The sequence below is a fragment of the Homo sapiens genome, chromosome 10 (assembly GCF_000001405.40).
Source record: "Homo sapiens chromosome 10, GRCh38.p14 Primary Assembly".
In the NCBI taxonomy this organism is placed as follows: Eukaryota; Metazoa; Chordata; class Mammalia; order Primates; family Hominidae; genus Homo; species Homo sapiens.
The window spans coordinates 30,892,946-30,918,851 of NC_000010.11; the positions used below are offsets into that span (position 1 = coordinate 30,892,946).

General features: G+C 36.8%; 1 protein-coding gene across 55 annotated transcripts in view; it reads right to left on the reverse strand.

The window, feature by feature from the left end:
• The window catches only part of ZNF438 (zinc finger protein 438), a 187,780-nt gene that overhangs the window by 48,314 nt on the left and 113,560 nt on the right, over positions 1–25,906 (reverse strand). For 42 of the 55 annotated variants that reach the window (NR_170659.1, NR_170660.1, NR_026560.2 and 39 more), the window contains one exon: positions 15,988–16,070. The exons of 2 other annotated variants lie outside the window; for them this stretch is intronic. The gene's annotated coding sequence lies outside the window, so the exon portion shown is untranslated. Of the gene's footprint in view, positions 1–8,668; positions 9,197–15,987; positions 16,071–17,414; positions 17,564–25,906 lie in introns of those variants that run through there. 11 more of the 55 variants (XM_024447872.2, NM_182755.3, NM_001143770.2 and 8 more) reach the window with 3 other exon arrangements.

Here is a 25,906-nt window from a genome sequence, read left to right on the forward strand (position 1 = left end):
TCTTAGCCTTCTGCTCTTACAAAGCTACATACAGTGTGCACCCTTGCATGTACATCTTTGCTAACACGTGGGAAGTCTATCTGCAGGAAGTCACAGTAAGAAATTTCTGGGTTGACTTAATATTTTTCTAGATTTTGCCAAACTGTCCTTCAAAGAAGTTGCACTGATTTATCTAACAACGCATGAAAGTGCCTCAAAACCATCACTTGCAAAAATTGCCATAGGAATTTTTCAATCAAATACTCAAAACGTTTAAGGATTCTAACATGCCTATGTAATTGTCTCAACTTTAGCTGAATATGCAAACACTGTATTTTACTGAAATATATAAACAATGAAAACCAAGTTTCCCATCTCCAGGACTTAGAAGGGTGATTGTTTATGGGAAGTCCCACCAACAAACTACAAATGGGAAAAGGAGTCCGTTGCAAGAGACAGTGCTGCTGCCCAACATCACCAAAAGGAAGTGAGCATTAGTGTTCATGCAGCATGACACATTAGTTTGTATCAACATTTTCTTGCTATGAAAACAACTTGATTTCCTAATTGAAAAAGTCAAACCACATAACATAATTAGAGAAAACATTGTTACATATTTGAAAAAGTAGCCTTTTAAAATGTTTTTCTTTTTAAAACATTACAGGTACAGTTTTAAGATGATTTTATAGTGTAAAAATCATGCTCCTTTATGTAAGATGAAATGGTGTCTTGACTGAGGTGCTACCAGCTGAGGATATGTGAACCCAATTAACCCAATTTTTAACTTGTCCATACTAAGTGGTTTATTTTAGATGTACACTGCTCCCTAAATCCTTTAGGGTACAACATGGAAAAACTATAAACAGGCTATAAAGGTCATGACATTAATTTTGCTGTCATTATCATACCTTCAGAACGCATTCAAAACTAAAAAAGTCTTATCCTCTGGGAAGGAAGGCAAATCTGAAACTAATTATGGTAGTTATTATTGTAATACTATTAAATTAAACACTGTGACCCTAGCTAAATTTATTTTGGTACATTTTGTTAATGAATAAAACCACTCAAATAATACTGTACTGTTGCACACAGCAAAATGGTACATCAGAGGACTAGAACAAAGTAACCACTCAAAAACTTGAATTTTCATTAACCTAGAGCTTAACTGGAACATTTAATGTATTAATAAGCATCCATGGACTCTCTTTGCAGAAGATGCTCTACTTGTTACAGGGGTTTATTTAAGAAGTAAAAACTTCACATGGGTAGAATAACCATTACTATTTATTTAAACCCAAAAGAAAATAAAAAGGGAAAATATCTCAGTAGCTTCTTTTTCTGAGTAAGTTTTTAAGAATCAAACTGCTTCGGGTGTTTGGAGGACTAGACAGTCCAGAGGCAACATCTAGGCTTAATAATTTCCTGCCAGTTCAGGTTCCTACCGTCTTACCAACACCTGGCCTGAGCACCAGGTGGGAGAGGAAGCCGCTGACCCAGCACCTGGGAAGTATTAATGTGTGTGTCCTCTAGTGCCCTGAAACGAGAATCATAGCCACACAGACTCTGGCAGGCTCATTTTAATCCTTGTAAATGCTGGAGGACAGCGATCAGGGCTGAGGACAGTGAATAATGAGTCTGGGTGGGTGGGGAAGAAAAATTAGGCAAGGAGAACTATCAACATCTGTGTAGAACTAACGATCAAGAGAAAGATGAGTAAGTAGCAATCACAAAAGAAAGAAAAAGTAGGAAGAAAAAAGGAACAATGGCAACATTATTATACAAGGAGAAAGAGCATTTGAAGAAAAAAAATCACTTAAATTCCAGTTTCTTTAAATATCTCAGAAAACCATTCAAGCACTGGTTCATACACTCTTGCAGTTAGAAAAGATGCTTATAGTACTTTTGTGTGCACGGCTGACAGTCTTGATAGTCTATAACTACTAATTGGTATAAATGGCCATGTTGCTAGTCAACTTCAATAGTTTATTAAAATTTAGGTTGGGATAAAGTTAAATATTTGAAGAGCATCTTTATTTCTCTAAATTTGAAAGTTAACCTTACAACAAAAATTTCTAACTCGTCTCTGTTTAGAGGTGTTAGCAGACTATGAGGCATTAACACATAGGAAAGATGAGAAAAATCAGAACGCAGAAGGCCCTAGAGGACCATTTTTTTCTTGCAAGGATTTGTTAAATAGTTTACTTGTGGATACTCAAGGATCCTAATTAAAAGGATACAACTAGGTGTGCTTTCCTCTTCCTTTGTTTTCCTATATTTGCCCATGTCCCCACAATCTATTTCTAGATCCACTCCTCCAACTGCATTTTGTACTCCAAATGTGTACATTTTCACATTAGTGGATGAAGCAACACTTCGAGTTAGGGCATGATGGTGCTAGCCAAGAGTTCACTTTCAGGAGTAGTCATCTTTGTCTTGCAGTAGTTATTTTATAATTATTTAAATATTTCATTACATTTTGTTCTTTAGAAAAATTAGTTTGGGTGTTTGGAGATGAAAAGATGGAAAGTAAATGTGACTGAGATGACACCAAAAACATAGGCAGCAAAGGTAAAAATAGATAAACTGGACTATACCAAAATTTAAAACTTCCATGTATCAACAGATACAATCAACAGAGTGAAAAGGCAACTTATAGAATGAAAGAAAATATTTGCAAATAATTATCTGATAAGGGATTAATATCCAGAATATATAAAGAACTCCTATGACTCAACAAAACCCAAATAACCCAACTTAAACAGAGCGAAGCATTTGTATAGACATTTCTCTAAAGATGATGTACAAATGGCCAACAAGCATATTAAAAGATGATCACTAATTAGAAAAATGCAAATCAAAACCACAATGAAATAACACCTCACACTCATTAGGATGGCTACTATTTAAAAAACAAAACTGAGAAAATAACAAATGTTGGTGAGGATATGGAGGAATTGAAACTCTTATTTACCATTGGAAATGTAAAATGGTGCAGCAACTATGGAATACTGTATAGCAGTACCTCAAAAAATTAAAAATAGAATTACCATATGGTCTAGCAATTCCACATCTGTGTGAATGTCAAAAAGAACTGAGGCCAGGCACGGTGCCTCACGCCTGTAATCCCAGTACTTTGGGAGGCCGAGAGGGGCAGATCATGTCAGATCAAGACCATCCTGGCTAACACGGTGAAACCCCATCTCTACTAAAAATACAAAAAAATTAGCTGGGCATAGTGACGGGCACCTGTAGTCCCAGATACTTGGGAGGCTGAGGCAGGAGAACGGCATGAACCTGGGAGGCAGAGCTTGCAGTGAGCCGAGACCGCGCCACGGCACTCCAGCCTGGGCAACTGAGTGAGACTCCATCTCAAAAAAAAAAAAAAAAAAAACAAAAAACTGAAAGCAAGATCTCAAAGAGATATATGCACATCCATGTTCATAGCAGCATTTTTCATAGTAGCCAAGAAGTGAAACAACTCAACTGCCCATTGACAGATAGATGGATCAACAAAATGTGATATATACATACAATGGATTATTCAACTTTAAAAAGAAAGGAAATTCTGACACATGCTATAATATGAATGAACCTTGAGGAGACTATGTTAAATGAAATAAGCCCGTCAGAAAAGGGCAAACATTGTATGATTCCATATATATCAGGTATCTAGAGTAATTAAATTCAAAGATAGACAGCAGAATAGTGGTTTCTGGGGGATATGGGGTTGTGGGGAGGAGGGGAGGCCGGAAGAGAAGAAACCAGGGAGAAATTGGGAGTTGTTTGATGGGTATACGGTTCCAGTTTTACAAGATGAAAAATTCTAGAGTTTGGCTGCACGACAATGTGAATGTAATTAACACTACTGAAATGTACACTTAAAAAGGGTTAAGAAGGTAAATTTTAAGTTATGTGTTTTTTACCACAATAAAAAAAGTAAATGTGATCATAGTACTGACATGAAGCATAGGCCTTGTAAACAATATTAAGTTTAGGCAAAAATGGCAATCACTCAGGGTGTTTTATGTGGCAAGTCTTTTAACTTTTACTGGAAGCATACTTGACTTAAGCCAGGCATGTGCTCAACTGTAAAGAAAAATGATAAAACTAAAGAATATTTACAAAGTATACAATATTCATACTAGACATACATCTATGTCAGAAAGAATGACATATTCTTTTTGAATTGTATAATGTTTTACTAGTACTCTGGTAAAGGAATATCTTCTTAGCATATGTCTTTTTGTTTGTTTTACTTTTACACACTGTATATCTGGGTAGTTTTTTGAGGAACATATTTTATACAAAAGTAAATACTGCCTATAAAAAGGGAAGTACTAGCCTAGGGCTCTTCAGGCCATAGGATATCAACACAGCCACTCTGAAGATTGGATCTGGTTAACTTCTTTCTATATTCCCCCCAATACTATCACCCCATGTTCTCTGGTGAGTTTATTAGAAAGGCAGGGAGTTTCAGGTAATCTTGTTCAGAAGGCCATCTTAGTATTAGCAGCTGACAAAAGATCCAGTGCTATAGAGCAAGTGCTTCAACAAATAACATCTTCTCAGCTCCAGATTGGTCCCAGCAGAGGAGATTCCTGACCTCCCTTAAATCTATCACCACCCAGCCACCTCCACTCCCCAGGCTCTGGCATTAACAAAGCTGGCCTGAAAACAGCAGGTTAACCCAGTGGTTCCAGATTACAATCATCAGATGAAAATATGACATCACAGAGATGAGCTGTAAACCCCTAAATTAACTTTCAGATTAAAGCAGCAAGGTCATTTCCTCCTGGGATCTTCAAGACCTGGGTCTGTACTCACAACACTGACAGTGAGACAAGCAGACAGTGGTGAGGACATGTGGGGGCAGTGCTCTGGGGCACACAGGGCCTTGTGGGGTTGCTCCTGAAACAGTTACTTGAAAGATCTAAACCGCTGACAGAGATTGTTCACCTCCAGACTGCATCCTCTAACAACAATCACACAGCATTAAACTTGAAACTGAAATACAACAAATGGGAAATCTGTTACCATTTTGGTATACAATCTTAAATACAATTAAATACTATATTAAATATAATATTACAAAATCAATTGGTTGCTGCTGTAAATTCACTAAGCATTTGGTTTCCTCATGAATGATTAGTTTGGGGGGTTAACTTTAGTCTAAGTAAAGGCATATAATAGTAACTGGATGATTTCAAGAGGTAAGAAATTGCTAAGGGTGGTAGCCTCTGGAAAAGGAAGAATTGGAAAGAAAAATGACTTTCTATGTATACTTTTTTGTAACCTTTTGAATGTTCTACCTTACAGAATACAACTTAAAACAGCAGTATCAACAATGAGAACAACAAGAATAAAGTAGATCTAGGGAGAGAGGTGGTTCTCAATCAACACTGCCAGGGAAAGATGTCCATAACATCATCTTAAGTGAAGCAAGCTGTGGAACAGTAGGTATATTCTGATCTCCTTTGCCCTTAAAGGAAAAAAAGTTGTATTCTCACAGAGAAACATCAAATTATCAACAGTGGTTACTTTTGGGGCTTGACTTGGTGGCACTTCCACCTTTAATTGGGTATAATACATGTATGTGTGTGCATATACACACACATATATAACTATATTGTATATATTTATATAATACATACATAACTACATAACCATCTATTTTTATACTAAAAATAATAACCGTTCTAAAAGGGGGGGAACGCTTAGTTAGATTCCACTTTAAAAATATATTTCTGTTTAAGAACAGATATTTTGATTTTCAAGTAGTCTTTTTTTCACTTTTGGTATTTTCCGCATTCCAATTTCATGGTGACCATTACACTCAATATATAATTTCCTGGCAAAATCAAATGTGTAAAGTCCATCCATCAATCATCCATCATCCAGTATAGCAATTTAGTAGATTGCACCTGTATCAATAAGAGGGACACCATACGTAATTTCCTATAATTCTCACTCAATACTTTTTCTAAACTCAAAATAATTTCAACTTAGTAACAGATCTTTAGTTAAGGATGGATCTTCAAAATCATCACAAATTTTTTTAAAAATCCAAAGAATATTCTCCACCTTCTTCAGATTAGTTAAGGTCCCGTTATTCTATCTTTTCTTTGCACAATTTAATTCTCCTTTCCCAACACTGACCAAACTTACATTAACTTCACATCTATCTTCCTCACCAGACTCAAAACTCTACAGGGGCAGGGTGCAAGTCTGTCACATTCTTAGCTTCAGGACCTTGGACAAAGTCTTTCAAAAATATTTGATGAGTTAACTTTGAATGGTATAAACTTTAAAAAAAAGGAGTTACAAGATTTTGTAGATATTCAAGGGGAAAGAAGATGCTAAATAAAGATTATATAACTAACCAAATAAGAAAGATCCACATCATACTTAGAAACAGCACATAGACAGAAGAAAAGGTTATTTGCCTAAATGATTCGTGTGACAAAATTAAAGCACATGCTCTCCAAGTACAACTGCTAAAAGCCTCCAGAGTTTGGCCACCTTATAAGTATCAGGCTTTCAGTCACAAAAACAAAGGCTTTAAAGAAATAACCACAAGTAACTTCCAAAATGGGATTATAATACTATACTCTTAAGGTACATTATCATTGAAAAATTCACCTTATTAACAGGCTGTTTCAGAATTCATTATATTTCAATAATCTTTTAAAAAAGAAATACAGAATAGCAAACGTACTGAACCTCCTCCCCACCCCCCCACACACAGGGCACACAGAGTCAGACTTTTGTTTTGACAACTCTTAGACTAATCCAAATCTTAATACTCTAGTGAATATGTATAGTTTTTGGCATGTATATACTTACACAATCTACTAGAGTTTAATTAACTCTACTCCTGAACTTGTATGTGAGTTTCAAGAAAATTTTAACCAACGTAGAAAATTATCCTTTTGAAAACAAAACAAAACAAACCAAAGTTTTCTGGCCACAAGGATAGCTAATTAAAATTATATACTTTCTTATGCAACAATCTTTTGTCAAAGTAGGGCAGTATAAAAAGTAGGCATTCACTCTAATCGACATAACTGATAACTCCACAAAGCAGGTGCTGGAAAACTTTTTCTGTAAAGGGTTACATGGTAAATATTTTCAGTTTTGTGGACCCTACCATCTGTGTCATAACTACTCTATTCTACTAGTGTAGTAAGAAAACAGCTACAAGCAATATATAAGATTATTTACAAAGTTCCAATAAAAACTATGTATGGATACTGAAACTAAATTTTATATCATTTTCATTGATCACAAAATATCATCCTTTGTTTTTTTTCAACAATTTAGAAATATAAAAATCATTCTTAGCTTGCAGGCCACACAAAACCAGGCCCAATTTGGTTTGCTAATCCCTACTCTAAACCAGTGACTTAGTAAACCTGGTTTATACCACTTACTAGCTATGTAAACTTGACCTCACTCCACCAAAATAGCCCAAATAACAAAGAAAACCACCACCACCAATAACCATAACTGAATTAACCTCTTAATTAGCAGGTGGGAGTTAGAGAGCTATTTTATTGGTACAACAGCAGCAGCAACTAACATTTATTTTGAGATTACTATGGCTCCAAACAGTGTTCTAAGCATTAAGTATACGCTAATTTCTTTAATTCTCATCACAGCCTTGGGATGGATATTTTATGATCCCCATTTTACATACAAGGAAATTCAGGCAGAGAGAGATTAAGTAACTTATTTACGCTCACCCAGCTAGTAAAATGTGGAGCTGAGGTTTGAAGACACGTACTGGGTTCTGCCCTCAGTATCCTCAGAAATTAAAATGCACAACAGAAGGTAAGTACACATGAAAAATAATGATAGTTAATGCTCATCAATAATAAAAAGCTAATTTTTAAATGGCCTATACTGCAGTAAGAAAAATGGAAACTTGATTCAAATAGATGCAAGCATCAGTATTCTCAGTGAAAAATTAGGAACAGTAATCCCTGATTCCTTCCTGTGTGTGCTGGTTCAGGAGAACAAATGTTAGTAAAAATACCCCAGGAGAAAAATGCAAAAGGCAGTTCACTATGATTTTCTCTAAATGACTGTCCTGATTCTCCTAATACAAATTTGCCTCTAGCTTTGCTGTTTGGTATTTGCAGATTTATAGTATTTGCCCATTACTGATACATTAGCAATAAACACTAATAATCAGGAAGTCGCCTTTCTTATAACAGTTATAACTGAAATCACAACCCATTTGCACACTCTTTCCCATGAGATCTTTAGCGGTCAGTTGGTTCTGTGTGCTGGCATCCTAAATGCAAGTGGAACTCTTCAGGGATCATATGAAAACGATTTTAGGGTATAAATTAAAATTTATTTCAGTGTAGCATTAAGTTGCCAATGTGGCTTTGTGTCCGGAATTGGTGGGTTCTTGGTCTCACTGACTTCAAGAATGAAGCCGCGGACCCTCGCGCTGAGTGTTACAGTTCTTAAAGGCGGCACGTCCGGAGTTTGTTCCTTCTGATGTTCCGCTGAGTCGGGGGTTGTTAGCTAGCCCTTTCCCAGAAAGCCTGACACCTCTGTCTTTAGTCCGGGGGCCATGCTAGTCACTTTTAACTGGCCGACAGGTGCCCGGTATTTGGCCCCCGAATTCTAAGGAAAAATAGGACAGAATAGCAACCAAAAGGGGTCTGATGGTACTCACTGCTTGGCGATAGGCAATTGTCTCGTCGCTTGGCAATAGGCGATGGTCTCACCGCTCGGCGATAGTCTCACCGCTTGGCGATAGGCGATGGTCCCTTCGTGGTCGCCAAAATGTGTCCGCAATTGGTGGGTTCTTGGTCTCACTGACTTCAAGAATGAAGCCGCGGACCCTCACGGTGAGTGTTACAGTTCTTAAAGGCGGTGTGTCTGGAGTTTGTTCCTTCTGATGTTCAGATGTGTTCAGAGTTTCTTCTTTCTGGTGGGTTCATGATCTTGCTGGCTCAGGAGTGAAGCTACAGACTTTCGCTGTGAGTGTTACAGCTCTTAAGGTGGCGCGTCTGGAGTTGTTAGTTTCTCCTGGTGGGTTCGTGATCTGGCTGGCTTTAGGAGTGAAGCTGCAGACCTTCGCAGTGAGTGTTACAGCTCATAAAGGCAGTGTGGACCCAAAGAGTGGGCAGCAGCAAGATTTATTGCATAGAGCGAAAGAACAAAGCTTCCACAGTGTGGAAGACTACCTGAGAGGGTTGCCATGGCTGGGACTGGCAGCCTGCTTTTATTCTCTTATCTGGCCCCACCTAAATCCTGCTGATTGGTCCATTTTACAGAGAGCTGATTGGTCTGTTTCACAGAGAGCTGATTGGTCCATTTTGACAGGGTGCTGATTGGTGTGTTTACAATCCCTGAGCTAGACACAAAAATTCTCCACGTCCCCACTAGATTACCTAGATACAGAGTGTCGATTGGTGTATTTACAAAACTTGAGCTAGACAGAGTGCTGATTCATGCATTTACAAACCTTGAGCTAGATACAGAGTGCCAATTGGTGCATTCACAATCCCTTAACTAGACATAAAGATTCTCCAAGTCCCCACCAGATTAGCTAGACACAGAGCACTGACTGGTGCATTTACAAACTTTGAGCTAGACATAGAGTGCCGATTGGTGCATTCACAATCCCTTAGCTAGACATAAAGATTCTCCAAGTACCCACCAGATTAGCTAGACACAGAGCGCTGATTGGTGCATTTACAAACCTTGAGCTAGACACAGAGTGCTGACTGGTGCACTCACAATCCCTTAGCTAGACACAAAAGTTTTCCAAGTCCTCACTAGACTCAGGAGCCCAGCTGGCCTCACCCAGTGGATCTCCCACCGGGCCGCAGGTGGAGCTGCCTGCCAGTCCCGCAGTGTGCCCGCACTCCTCAGCCCTTGGGTGGTAGATGGGACCAGGCGCCGTGCAGCAGCGGGTGGTGCTCCTTGGGGAGGCTCAGGTGGTGCAGGAGCCCATGGCAGAGCGGGGAGACTCAGGCATGTCGGGCTGCAGGTAGGCCTTCCCTGCGGGGAGGCAGCTAAGGACCGGGGAGAAATCGAGCGCAGCGCCGCACTGCTGGGGGACCGGATGCACCCTCCGCAGCTGCTGGCCCAGGTCCTAATCCCCTCACTGCCTGGGCTGGCAGGGCCGGCCAGCCAGCCGCTCCCAGTGCGGGGCCCGCCAAGCCCACGCCCACCCGGAACTCTAGCTGGCCCACAAGCGCTGCATGCAGCCCCGGTTCTGCCCGTGCCTCTCCCTCCACACCTCCCCGCAAGCCAAGGGAGCCGGCTCCGGACTCAGCCAGCCCAGAGAAGGGCTCCCACGGTGCAGCGGCGGGCTGAAGGACTCCTCAAGCACGGCCAGAATGGATGCCAAGGCCGAGGAGGCACCGAGAGCGAGTGAGGGCTGCCAGCACACTGTCACCTCTCAGCTTTTAGAAGTTATAAGAAAACACCATCACTTCTACATAACTGGAGAATAAAAGCATCCCCAAAGAACTTGGCATTTTAAGACTTTGGCTGGCCAAGGAAATAAGAAATTTCTAAAACTACATTCAGTCCAGATATTTCTCATTGGAAGGGAGTTACTTGCCAGAAAATTATTTCAGAGTCTACTTTCATTACTTACCTAAAAATGAGGACGCTCACATGACAGATGATCTCTACAGCACTGGGGGAGGATCAGCAAGGCCAAACACATTATAAGAAGACACGGGACTTTTGCTTGTGTTTATTACTGCTTGAGGTTGAGCCTTTTGAGTATTTAAAAAATATATACCAACAGAACTACTCTCCCAAGGAAAATATAGCCAACATTTGTAGACCATGTAACCTTCAAGTATGTGCTACTTTTTTGTCCCTGTATCTAACTCAAATCAGGAACTGTATTTTTGTTTTTTAATGATTTGCTTTTGAAACTTGAATTCTTGAAAACAGTGTGATGCAATTACTGCTGTTCTAGCCCCCAAAGAGTTTTCTGTTGCAAAATCTTGAGAATCAATAAAGATGGAAAGGAGAAATTGGAATGTTTTAACTGCAGCCCTCAGAACTTTAGTAACAGCACAACAAATTGAAAACAATTCATGCCACAGTTAAAAAAAAAAAAAAGACACAGGAGACAGACTAGAACAACAGAGACTCTCAGAGCAAAATTCATCTGGCAAATAAAAAACATTGTCTAATTTTCCAAAATTTGTACTCTCCCCAAATATTTGCTATCAGCAAATCACATAATTCTGTATTATATGTGACTGCCTTGGTAAGAAAGAGATACTTATCAACAGAACAAAATCCATTCATGTTACTTGAAGTTGTTCATAACAAAGTTTATCATGAAGGAAAATCTCTGGCTTAGAAACAGCCCTCCAACTCATTCACTTTCCAAAGTCCAGTGTCTGGGAGCCATGCCTTACACCTCTCTCCCTTACCTCCCCTATCTTGGCTTCCACCAAATAGTATCAATTTTATCTTGCAAAAAGCCTTCAGATATGTCCCCTTTTCCTCGTCTCCACTGCCAACTGTCTGGTGCAAGTTGCTCTATCAGTCCCTGCCTAGACCATGAGTACTCTTCACTGTTCCCTCCCACTTCCACTTCTGCCCCTTTTCTAACTGACACAGCCAGAGTGATGTTTTCAAAAGACAAATTAGAATGTGTCACCCCAGACTGAAAACCTTTCAAAGCCATAACACATTGATGAGGTTGTCCACACTCTGGTCTGGACCTTCTTCTCGGACGCACCCTGCACTCCTCACCCCCTCACTTTCTTTGTCTCATTCACACTGACCTTCCTTCCATTTCCTGAACACCCCATGACTCTCTCAACAGAGTCTTTACACCTGTTGGCCCCCCATTTCCTGTAATCCCTCTTATCTTATGCCCTTTTTGCCTAGATAACTCGGATTCATCCTTTGGATCGCAAAGGAAAATCACCTCCTTAAGAGAACTGTCCCTGACCTAGGTTCAGATATCCCTGTTAATAATCTTAGTGGCCCCTGTATCTTTCCCTGATGGTACTTACCACAATTGTAATGCCTCATACTCCTAACAGACAAGAAGCTCTAGAGGGTAGGGTTCACACCCCTTTGTGTTCATATGGTACCCTAAGAATTTGGCACAGTAACAGACCATCTAGGAGGAGCTATTTGTGATATACTTCACATACTGTAACATTTACCCCTTTACAGTGTTACACATAGGAAGGGAAGAGGTTTACAATATAAATACTGGCTGTGTCTTAGAGTAACTCTATGTTTAACCTTTTGAGGATTTTCCAGATTGTTTTCCGAACAAATTTTCCATTTACATCCCCACCAGTAATGTATAGGGTTTCCAATGTCAACAAATCCTCACTAATACTTGTTTTTGTCCATATTTAAATTATAGCCATCCCACGAGGCATGAAGCAGTGTTTCATTGTGGCTATTCCCTAATGACTAACGACGTTGCACATCTTTTCATGTGCTCATTGGCAATTTGCAGATCTTCTTCGGAAAAATGTCTATTCAATTTCTTTGACCAGTTTTAATTGGGTTATTTTTATTGTTGAGTTGTAACAGTTCTTTATATATGTTGGATGCAGGTTCTTTATCAGATATAAGATTTGCAAATATTTTCTCCCATTTTGTGGGCTGTCTTTTCACTTTCTTGATGGTATCCTTTGAAGTACAAAAGTTTTTAATTTTAGTGTAGTCCATCTTACATAGTTTTCTTTTGTTGTTTATACTTTTGGTATCAATCTAAGAAACCACTGCCTATCACAAGGTTATAAAGATTTCAGTCTATGTTTTCCTCTAAGAGTTTCATATTGTTTTTATCTCTTACATTTAGGTCTTTGATCCATTTTGAATTAATTTTTATATATTGTGTGAGGATATCCACTTGTCCCAAGACTACTGGCTGAAAAGACTATTGGATAATTCTTGGTACCCTTGTTGATTATCAGTGTACCATAGATGTAACAGTTTATTTTTAGACCCTTAATTCTATTCCATTGATCTGTATGTCTATCCTTACGCCACTACCACACTGTTATTTATTATAGCTTTGTAGTAAGTCTTGAAATTGAGAATGGGGAGTTTTCAAACTTTGCTTTTCTTTTTCAATACTATTTTGGCTATTATGGATTCCTTGTATTTCCATATTAATTTTAGGGTCAGCTTGTCAATTTCTACAAAAGGGGCAGCTGAAATTTTCATAGAGACTGCATTGAAACTAGAACAATTTGGGGTGTATTACTATCTTAACAATGTGAGTTTTCTAATTCAAAGACACAGATGTCTTTCCACTTATTTAGGTATTTAATTTTTCACAACAATATTTTGTAGTTTTTGGTGTGCAAGTCTTGCACTTCTTTTGCTTATTTGTAAATATTTATTCCTGCGTATTCTGTTTAATGCTACTGCCAACGTCATTGTTTTCTTAATTTCTCAGTTTTATTTCTCAATTTCCAGATTGTTCCTTGGTAGTGTATATAAATACAATTGATCTTTATATTGATCTTGTATCTTTCAACCTTGCTGAATTCATTAATTAGTTCTAAGAATTTTTTAGTGGATTCCTTAAGATTTTTTTACATACAAGATGTCATCTACAAATAGAGAACGTTTTTCTTCTGGCTTTCCAATCTGGATGCTTTTCTTTTTCTTACCTAACTGTCCTGCTTAGAACCTCCAGTACAAAGTTAAATAGAAACAGTAAGATAACTCATCCTTGTCTTGTTCCTGATCTTAGAGGGCACACTTTCAGTTTTTCACCATTAAGTATGATGTTAGCTGTGTAGTTTTTGTAGATTCTCTTTATCAGGGTGAGGAAGTTCACTTCTATTCCTAGTTTGTTCAGTGTTTGTATGATAAAAGGGACTTAGATTTTGTCAAGTGCTTTTTCTGTGTCTATTATCATGTGACTTCTGTTCTCTATTCTATTAATGTGGTGTCAACACTGATTTTTCATATGTCAAACCAATCTTGCATTCCTTACATATATCCCATTTGGTCTTGGTTTCTATGCTTTTCATATGTCACTAGATTTAATTTTCCAGTATTTTGTTGAGAATTTTTCTTTGTTAGTTTAAGACATAGTCTTGCTCTTGTCGCCCAGGCTGGAGTGCAATGGTGTAATTTTGGCTCACTGCAACCTCCGTCTCCTGGGTTCAAGCTATTCACCTGCCTCAGCCTCCAGAGTAGCTGGGATCACAGGCATTCGCCACCACGCCCAGCTAATTTTTGTATTTTTAGTAGAGACGCGGTTTCACCATGGTGGCTAGGCTGGCCTCAAACTCCTCAACTCAGGTGACCCACCTGCCTTAGCCTCCCAAAGTGCTGGGATTACAACTGTGAGCCACCACACCTGGCAAGAATTTTTACATCAGAACTATAGACCAAAGATACTGGTCTATAGTTTTCTTGTGTTGTTGTTGTCTTGTCCATTTTTATCATGGTAATACACTGGCCTCACAGAATCAGTCAGGAAGTATTCTCTCCTCTTGTATTTTTTGGAGAAGTTTGTAAAGGATTGGTATTAATTCTTTTCTAAATTTTTGGTAGAATTCACAGTGAGGACATATGGGCCTGGGTTTTGTGTGTGTGAAGGGGGAAATTTTTAAAATTATAATTCAATCACTTAACTTGTTATAGGTTCATATTTTCTCTGTCTTCTTGACTCCGTTTTGGTAGTTTTTGTTTTTTAGGAATTTATCCATTTCATCTAAGTCACCAAATATTTTGACATATAATTACCTTTTTTAAATTTCTGTAGAGTCAGTAGTGATATCCCCTCTTTCTTTGTTGATTATTCTTTTATCCTGGTTAGTCTAGCCAAAGGTTCATTAATTTTGCTGATCTTTCAAAGAACCAACTTTTGCTTTTATTGATTTTCTCTATTGTTTTTATTCTTTATTTCATTCATTTGCACTTTCATCTTTATTATTTTCTTCCTTCTGCTTGTTTAGGTTTAGTTTGCTCTTCTTTTTCTAGGTTCTTAAGGTGAAAAGTTGGGTTATCAATTTGAGATCTTTCTTTTTTTGAAAACAATAAGGATTTATAGCTATAAATTTCTCTCTAAACACTGCTTTTTAAAGTTGCAGCCCATAAATTTTGGTATGTAGTGCTTTAGGTTAATTTATCTCAAGATATTTTCTAATTTCCCTTGTGATTTCCTCTTTGACTCTGATTATTTAGAAGTATATTATTTAATTTCCACATATCTGTGCATTTCCCAAATTAGGAGTATATCATTTAATTTCTACATATTTGTGCATTTCCCAAATTTCCTTTTGTTACTTATTCCTAATTGTATTCTATAGTGGTCAGAGAACATACTTTAGTATCATTTCAATCCTTTTTACATGTATTGAGGCTAATTTTATGTCCTAATAATCTATCCTGAAGAGTGTTCCATATGCACTTGAATGTGTGTTCTGTTCTTTAAGTGGAGTATTCTACAGATGTCTGTTAGGTGTATGTGGCTTATAATGTTGGATCTGGGAATGGAGCTCAAGCTATTCTGGTGTTTTCAAGAGGGTGCTTACCTTTTTAAGGGCTCACCATGCCATTTAATATCATCCTAATGGTAGGAGGTATGCACAGTAAGGTGCTTGCTTTGGATTTGCTCTTAAACACATCTATTCTGAAGAACTCCAAGGAGAGCAAGGTAGGAAATGAATGCAGCTGTCCTATCTTTCCTGATTAATTTCATATCTATCTCATGGGCATGTTTTAAATACATGACTACAATGTACGCTGCATATAAAAATATATACAAGTGCACAGTGAAAATAAATGATGTTATTTCAAACTACTAATACTGAAATTTAGTCTGTACAAGCGCTTTCTGAAAGAAATATCATATGACTTGGTAAAGAAGAAATATATTTTATGATTAAGAAACTTCTCTTACAAAATCTACTCTGTGAAGTAGTATCCATTTGCAGTTGATTTAAGGTAGGCCTTTGTGAAGCAAATCTAGAAATTAAGAGCACTACATCAATATGCAAAAATTATTTAACAAAATACCTTTTACTGTTCTTGCATGAAGTTTGTGGTTAATTCCATCAAAATGTTCAGAAGATAAGATGTGCGTACTTTCTTCAACATACCTAAAAAAAGAAAACTGGATTTACAAACTTTTAAGAGAAAACTACAAAACAGTATTATTAGCATATCATTAAGGCCACATCTATATTTTTTGAAAAAATAACAGTATTTAGGATCTTACACAAAAGTCATAAAGATATTTGCCTTATCAAACTGTGTAATATGAAAGTTTACCACTTTAGTAAAGTACTAAGATTTTTTTAAATATATACATGAATATGACTTAAATACTATCTCTTGAATTATATGAAGTTACAAAACCAAAGAAATGCTTAACTTTTGTTTCTGATTATTATGTAATCATCATTCAGCACCTTCACACATATTCTCCATAAGCTTCTACTATGGAATCATGGCCATTTTTACTTGGACAATAGGAAAATTACATGACTTTCCAAATACATCAAAACTTTCTAACTGAATAAAACACAGAACTCCTGATTCTCGACTGAGATTTTACCTTCTAAAATATAGAACCCAAAATCCAAAAATAGTGCCAGAAATAATAAATCTCAGGAAATAACTTTTTAACTTTAATTTTCTTTTCCTACTCACTTTTTCATCTTTATCCTGAACCTTTGTATCATATGGCCTCTTGATGAAAGTAATAAAAGCATTTTACTTTTTAATACTGCATGGTGAATCATTTTCAAACTTGTGAGGGACAGTAGTCATGACAGAAGGGTGCTTCCATCCCAAATTAATGACACTAACTATATGATCTAATTAAATCAGAAAAAGTTAAGTATGGCAAAGGTGTTTTAGAAGCAGCTGTGCCTTAAGCAGTCATATGGTAACCACCATGGAGCCTGAATCTAAAAATATTCTTTCAAGCTGGTATGCCATGCCTTGTTCCAGTTTTGAAGACCATATCACAAAATATCCACACAAGTAGGGTACATAGAGTGATGCAAAGAGACTTCTGAGCTATCCTCATAACCAACGTAAAGGTCATGGCAGGTAAATATATTCTTTTCACAGTTTGTCTAGCTAGATCTTCTTTCACATTTGTTCTTGAGGACTGAAGCTCCCTAGGTTCAACTGGGCACTTCTTGAAAAGCAAGCTCCTGAAGCTCTCTGCCCTTGTCCAGGACAGGCTGGCTGCACAAAGACTTCAGGTTTTCCTAGGGTGTTAGAGTACAATTACCTTGTGTACTTGGTAAAGGGGGAAGAAGATTCACCTGAGACTATAGGTGAAGGGAAGAGGAAAGACCATACTTAAAGTGATCATAGATTGAAGGAAGCAAGGAACCCTGGGAAAGATGGAGAACATAAGGGTCAATGACAGCAATAATGAATAGGTGCTTAGAAACAGAAAAGAGTACTATGTTTCAGCAAATGCTTACATTCCTATAGTTCTCCAGTCTGTGTCCAGAAGAATGTGGCAATGACAGAACATCTGTTCCTCCACTCCCAGGATGAGCTTCCTATAGCCATAGATGGACAAGGAGGCAAAGATACAGTAGAAAAAAAATGCGAACACTTCAAAACCTGACTGAAGCAGAAAACAATCTGGTCAGTATGAAGAGAGTCTCAGCAGGGGCATGGTAGCATGAAGAACGGAGACACAATCTTGCAAAGGGGCAGAAAGCAACTTTATATGTTAGTATTGATATAGCACCCCTTTAAAGAACCACTGCTTTAGACGAATCTTTATTTGTATATTGGCCAAAAAAAAAAAAAAAAAAAGCCGCCTATATTTAGAGAAACTCATCATCTTTTTACCTATGGTAAAAATAAACTATTTCTTAGTATGTTCTTTAGAATTTTTGTGTAAGCATTCTGTGGTTCCTAGGCCAATCTAAATTAATACAGTTAAAATTAAAGCTATCATATTCAATATATCTTTTTATGAAAAATCGAAACTAAAATTTCATATTTTCTGGAATAGAAAACATCCAGAAGAGTCACTACAAAATGTATCAAAATCTTAGAATATGGTAGTTCAAGCAAATACATTTTCATAACTTAAAACATATGAAAAATAAATACATATAATGTTTCGTTTATGATTCACACTTCTCAGTTACATTAAATGAATCAAACTTTTAATTGGGTAAGGGAAAATCACTCTCTTGGCACATTAAAAAAATGGAGATCATTATAATTTCAAATGAGAACATCTATTTAGTAAGGTTTACAAAAAAATATAAAGCAAAAAAATCCCTTGGCCAAATAAAATGTAGCCACAGTACCAGCAGAGTTGCAATATCTAGCACTTCTCTCACCATTTATTTAGTGAATACCTGTGGGACACACTCAGCAGCTTGCTTAGTGAGATAGGGGCCCTGTCTTTAAAAAGCCAGTTGAAGAGCCTTGCTGGTGAATAAACTGTTCTCTAAAATAAGTAAAATGTAAGATAACATGTGATGTGTCAGAAGACGCTTTCAATAAAATAATTTAAATCACTACAGATGTTTGCTTTAAAAAAATGTGTTTAAAAATTTCCACAGAACATCTCATGCCTCCCGTCTCCTTCTCAGCTTTAATACTGACCTCACTTCTCAGGAGAAATGGACACATACAATACAAAAACCACATTTAGAACAGCCTAAGTCTCTGTGTCCTACAAATTCTCATCTCCTCAAACTCTGCAACTGCTCAGAAAACGATGTTTGTGGTCAACTAGGAAACTCACTGCCCAGATTATTTTTGGAAACACAAGAGCCAGCCTCTTTGATGCCTGACACTAAACCTGCTCTCCTTAACTCCTCAAACCTTCAGTACTATTCTCCTCTTCATGCTCTCTCTAGATCATTTCACCTTCATTTTCCAAAGGAAACAGAAGTTATCTGATGGAAAGTCACTCTCCTTCCTGGTATCACATACAACCTACCAAAGTGGCTCCAGTCCTTCCTACTCTGGACTTGACACACCAAAGTGGTGCCCCTCCTCCTTCCAAATGCCAGACCCTCTGCCTATGCCTAATCCCATTCTCTCCCATTTTCCCAACAACATGAAAATATTATTCCTTCTCTTGTTTATATATTCAACCTCTTCTTCTTACGCAGATCTTTTTGCACTGGTTTTTAAACAAACCCTAGTCTCTTCCTTTAAAATAACAGCAAAACAAAACCATTTGGCCCCACATCTCCCTCCAGCTATAGCTCACAGGCCTATCTAGACACTTCCTGCTTCAAATAAACTTCTCTACAGAGTTGCCTAAATGTTCTGACTTCATGTCCTCATCTCCTATTCACTCCTCATATGTGCTTGAGCCCCACTACACCACTCCTCCAAGACCCTTCTGTCAAAGTTGTCCACAGACACCATTCAGTCTTCATCTTACTGGACATGTTAGCAGTAAAACCACCATTGTTCATTATCTCCTTAACATCCCCTTTCTCTTCTTTTATATCAACCAGAAGTCCCTCGTCTTTCCTTCTGCCTATCTTGCCATCCTTGGCCACTGAATGCTGAAGAGCCTCAAGGTAAACATCATGTCTCACTTTATATTCTCTCCCTAGGATATCTCATCCATTTCACAGAGATGTAAATAAAAATGAACTTTTTTGTTCTGTACTTTTAATCTCTAGTCCAGACCCCTTCTATGAGCTCCACACCTACATATCTGTAGGTCCATATCTGTCTACACAGGCAGCATACAGAATGATAAGGTGCATGGGCTCTGGAGGTGAACTACGTAGATTTAAATCCTGTTTCTTCCACTTACTGTCTGACATTGGACAAGTCTCTTAACATTTCTGTGTTTCCATGTCCTCAGCTTAAAAAATGCTGTAATAACTGTAAATGCTCAAAAATATTGGCTATTATCATTATTACTATTTGACCTTTCCTCTTGTGTGTCTCAAAGCCATCTGAAATGTTCTGCCTTTGAAATGCATGATGTTCCCAAAATGTGATCTGCTGCTGGAATTCCCTCGCTGTCTAAATGCTGTAATCAGAAATCTAGTAGTTATTTTTAATACAGTTCTCTTTCCTCTCCCATTTCTAATACAACATATCTGTTGGGATTTAAGGATTAAATCTGTTATCTTTTCTATAACTGCACCACTATAACTTTACCCCAAGGTCCATCCTCTCCAGTGTACCCCACTAAAATGGCCTGTAACCAGTCGAGACACTTCCACCCTTTACCCCAAAGCACCATCCACGCTGCAGCCAAAAGGATCTTTACAGATTGCAAATCTGGACAAGTCAACTTCATGCTTAAAACCCTTTATTTGTTTCTCATTGGTCTTAGAATAAGCACTGATCTTTATTAAATATGACCTAAAAAGCTCTATAAGGTCTGAACTCTGCCTCCCTCTCCAGTCCAATTTCATACCATATATTCCCTTGGTTCTCTCAGCCCATTCTCCACTTGGCTTGATTCCAATTCTTCCTGCTTGCTTTGCTCCTTCCCACCACAGGGTCTTTGCCCATGCCCTTTCTTTTCTCTGTTTAAAATGCTATTTCTTCCTCCTCTTCTCCTAGTTGACTCTTATTCATCCATCAGATTTTTGCTTAAATGTATCCTCCTTAGGGAAGCCTTCTCTGGCCTCCCAGATGAAGCCAAATACTTTTATTCTTGGTACTCATCATCTTACCCCTTTCTTTCAGGTTAGAGAAAGAGTAAGTGAATTTAGGGAGGAAGGAGGAAAGAAGTATCTTAGTCAGCCTAGAAATTAAGACACTTAATCATTTAGTTGGAAAAGCAAGCACAGGCACAAGGGGAAGAAGAATTACTTAGGTAACAATAGGTTATATGAAGAGAATTACGTGGGTAATCACAGGCTGTAAAAGGAAAGAAAAAACTAAATAGCAAATCTTCTGGAATAAGAACAAGGAACTTCTCTTGTATCTCCAACCTCACAGTTTTTATTAAAATGAGTTAGGGAATAGAATGTTCCCACTGGAACTATATGTTCGGTATACAGGTGATGATTCATCCAGTCTTAGCATATTAAGCCATAGACAAATCCAATCCAAATGACTAAAATGACAAAAAATATGTAATTTTAATAGGTTAATTTCAACAATGTCCTAAACACGTTTTAAACTGATATTTTGCATTATTGCTTCACATTTTATGTGTGCGTATAAACTAAAAATCAAAATTGATTTTAATGGAATACCACTTAGTAATCGAAATGAACAAGTTATTAATAAACACAAGTTGGATGAATCTCAAGGAAATAATATTAATTTCGAGACAATCTCAAGAGAATGAAAAAGTTAAATTAAAAAAGTTAAATCAAAAAAGTTAAATCTAAGGATCCATTTAAATAACATTTTTAAAATGGAAAAATTATGGCAACAGGGGGCAGATTAGTGGTTGCCAGGGGTTAGGGACAGGGGTGGGAAGTGGGAAGGTAGATGAGTGTGATTATAAAAGGCCAACATGATGGAATCTTTGTGATGGAAATGTTCATCTTGACTGTAGTAGATACAAGAAGCTACACATGTGATAAAAATTAGATAGAACTAAATAAATACACACACAAATGAGTTCGAGAAAAACTAGGAAAATCTGAATAAGATCTAGAATGCATCAGTGTTAATATCCTGGATGTTACCACTGGGGGGATTGTGTAAGCGGTGCATGGAACATATATTATCTCTTGTAACTGCATGCAAATTTACAATTATCCCAAACTTAAAAGTGTCATTAAAAAACAGCTTTAAAGTGGTTTCACAGCATTTCTCAAAGACACTGGATTATATATACTCGACTACAGAATTCCAATTTTTTAAAAGGAGGCTTCCTCCAGTTTCTTCATGTTCTACCTTTGTTGCTGTCAGCCCATGAAGAAAGGGAGATTTAGGTAGACAGAAAGAAATGTCTTGAGGTTGTAATGAACACAATAAAAAAAAATCAATATTTTTAAAAAGTAGATCTTAAAATGTACTTGAAAGTTTGAAATCATAATGACATAAACAACTATTTATGACCTAAGAAGAAATGCCTACTTTGGTACTTTGAAGTATTAAAAAAAATCACATAGAATTAAATTACAAAGCTCAAAACTTGTTTAGGCAGCTGGTCTTTTTTAAAATCAAGGAACTTTAAACCTACAATTCTAATAGGCTTACTGGTGACACCCCAATCCTTTGAAAAATAAATGAAATATCATAAATCATTTGACAGTTTTTAAGCTTAGATTTTTATCATCAGTCAGACTCTTTAAAAATAAAAAAGCAATATGAAAGGATAGGATCTTGCTTTGTGCCCTATGAAGTTTAAGATAGAAAATAAATCATACTATTAAATGTCATTTAGAACCTTAACTTCAATACTTAGGATGAAATTGGCATAATATTCATGGTCATTCCTATGAGAATTCATGCAAGTCGAGTAGCTTTTCTTACAAGATATTGCAGAACTCTGGCACTTCCTGTGATAAATGAAGCAATAAGGCTTTGGAATTGCAATTGTGTATATTTAGGTACTTCATATAAGCAACCAGACTGTCATCTTGCTGGATATCTAGCACTATGAATTTATTATTTGTTATCCAAAGGAATGTTTGAATACTTATAAAGAGTAAAGGGTTGGGGTAAGCCCTTAACATTTAAAGCTACAAATGTAGGACTATATAGGAAGCCACAGTGTCCAACCTTAATTTTCTCGGCAAGTTAATTTAATGAAAAATATTCACAGATTTTTCAGGAAGTGCAGAGATGAAAAAATCTATAAATATCTTGAAAATGTTTAGGATTCAACATAACATTAAGATCTAGATATTAGCCACAGCATCCTGAGAATTTTTATCACAGTGAAGTTGCAAGAAAATATATTATGGGAGTCATTCTCCATGACCTGGTTTTAAGGTAAATTCATTGATGGGTCAATAATCAGTTCAACTCATAAAAGTGTGCTTTGAGAAGTCAGCTGAACCAGCATTAGTGGAAAGAGGTCAAAGCCGGGCCCTCTCAGTTATCTGGCCCATCCTATTTTAAAAGAATTCTGTTGGAGGAGATTCATTCCAAAGGCCAAAAAAATTACTTCTGTCTTTTCTGATGGTTTCATTTACCCATCACATAAGTGAAAATCCATAATTTTCTTTCCCTTCTTGAAGCAATAATGGCGGAACTTCTGAGAAACAGTCTCAGAAGATTTATACTGTACCAATATAAATCCCAATCATTTTAGATTTCAGTAGTTCTTCTAATTCGCTTTTAAGATACAGCCACCAAAACTGTGGCCTCCAAATAAGGCCACTAATGTCACATCCATATCAAGCTGTATAGGCATTTGATAAACACTTGAATGACTGAATTAGTGACAGCAGAAAGCCTACTTCTCATATTTTGCATATCGTATTATTGCTAAGAAGTATCCTTAAAGATTATTTAAGTGTACCTCTAATTTCTCAAGAAATTAAATGCTGAATACATACCAAATAGTATTTTCAACAAATGTGCAAGTTATAAATAGTAAAATGAACACCTGTTTTCCCACTAGCCAGTTTAGAGAATACATTACTTATAACTTTGAAGTCCCCTTTATGGCCTTTCCCATTCCAATTCCAATCCTTTTTCCCATGCCTTCTCTCCAGCTATCCTTTTTTGTTGTTGTTGTTTTTGCTTTCCTTTATAGTGTTACCATATGTATCCCTAATATCTTGCTTAATTTTGCAAGATTTTGGATGGAGTTATATTGGTTGGAATCATATTGGAAGTATTCTTAAGTTTCTTGGTTTTATTCTGTTCATGAGACTTATCCATGATGATATGTTTGAATGTGGCACAATTTGTGTCTTCTCTTATTGATGGATATCTGAGTTGTTCCCAGCTTTCTGGAACATATTATGTATTTCTCTATGTAGATTACCAAGAGTTTCTATGCCTCAGAGTGGAGTTGCTTGGTTGATATATGCACAACTTATTAGTTAATGCAAATGTATTATATGGTTGATTCAATTTGTATAACCACTAGCAGGGCAAGATAAGTTCAGGATGCTCCAACATTTTTGCCAATCTAATGGACATAAAAAAGTACTTCCTTGTGATTTTTAAAGCTCTTTTTTATTTCTTGAGGCAAAATTTATATAAAATGAAATGCACCAATCTTAAGTGTACCATTCCATAAGTTTTTTTACAAATGCATATACCTTGTAACCCAAATCATTACCACTACCCAAAGTTTGTTCCTTCAAAATCCTTCCCAGTCAGTTCCCGTCCCATCCCCTAGAAGCAACGACTTTTCTCATCCTTTCCCCTCACAGATAATTTGCCAGTGTTTCATTTTATGAATAACCACAGTCTGTTTATCCATTCTCTTACTGATGGGAAGCTGGGCTATTCCAGTTTCTGGCTAGTATGATTGAAGCTATATTATGCACATATATTATGTATGTACTTCTCATAAGAATCTTTTTGGTCGATTTTTATTTTCATTTCTCTTAGGCAAATATCTAGGAGAACTGCTGAATCATTGGGTAAGTGTATTTAACTTCATAAGAAACTGCCAGATCTTTTTCCTCAAGTGGTATACCTAATGTATAAGAATGCCAGTTGCTCTAGATCCTATCTGATTTTAGACAGTATGGTGGGTTTCTCATTCTCATTTTAACCTGCATTTCCCAGATGACAAATGACGCTGATCACATGCTTACTAATCATTTGAATATCTTCCGTTGTGCAGTGTCTGTGTTACAAAGTGTCTTTTCAAATCATTTGTTCCCTATTCCTTTTTAGTTTCTGGTTGTTCCGCTTTTTGTTATGGAGCTGTATAAATTAGCTATATATTCCTTTGACAAATATACATTTAGCAAATATTTTTCTCAGTCTGTGGCTTGTTTTTTGTTTTCTTAGTGGTATCTTTTGATAAACACAAGTTTGGTTTTTTCAATGAAGTCTATTCTTTAAAGCTTTTCTCTTACAGTGATTGCTTTCTACATCCTAAGAAATCTTTGCCTACCCCCAAGTCATAAGGATATTCTCTGATGTTTTCTTAAATTCGTATGGCTTTAGCTTTTTATATTTAGTAGTATGATTCATCTCAAATAGATTTATATGCATGATGCAAGACAGAAATTGAGATTTATATTTTTGCTTGTGGATATCTAGTTGACCCAGCACCATTTACTGCAACACTTTCCTTTCCCTACTTGGTTGCTTTGGATTTGTTTGAAATCAAAGGACTATATAAATGGGTCTATGGCCTCTGTTCAATTGCATTAATTTATTAGTTTATCCTTATGGCAGCACCATGCTATCTGGATTACTGCAGCTTTATAGTTATGGTACAAATTCAAGTCTTCCACCTATGTTTTTAAGATTCGTCAGATTTTCTCAGTCTTTTACATTTCTATGTAACTTTTAGAATTAGCTTGCTAATTTTACAAAAAGGCCCGTGGATTTATGCTAGGGATTATGTTGAATCTACAGATCAATTTTGAGGGAAATGTCATTTAATTGAGTTTTCCAACCATATGGCATCTCTCTTCATTTATTTCTATCTTTAATTTTTCTCAGTATAGTTTTGTTGTTCTTACAGATTTTGCATGTCTTTTGTTGAATTTATTCCTAAATGTTCTACTTTTATTAGAAATAGGAAATAGGTTCTATTAATGATCATCTCAATTCAAAAATACTCATTTCTCAGGGTGCCTCCATCGCATTTTCACTCCTTGGAAACATTAAAAACATGAAAATCGTGAGAAAGTTTAATATTAAATAGTACATACTATATTCTGTATGGTAAACAAGACAAGAATTTCTAAAAATGAATGGAGATTCTACAAGTTGGCAGTAAAATAAAGGAATGGACTAAAGTCTAACAATATACATGCTGGAAATCAGGCTGGGGAATTTTTATAATCCACACACATTTTAAGTAGATTATCTGATGGGGAAGAAAGGTGTCAGACATACCATTACCTCAGTCTGC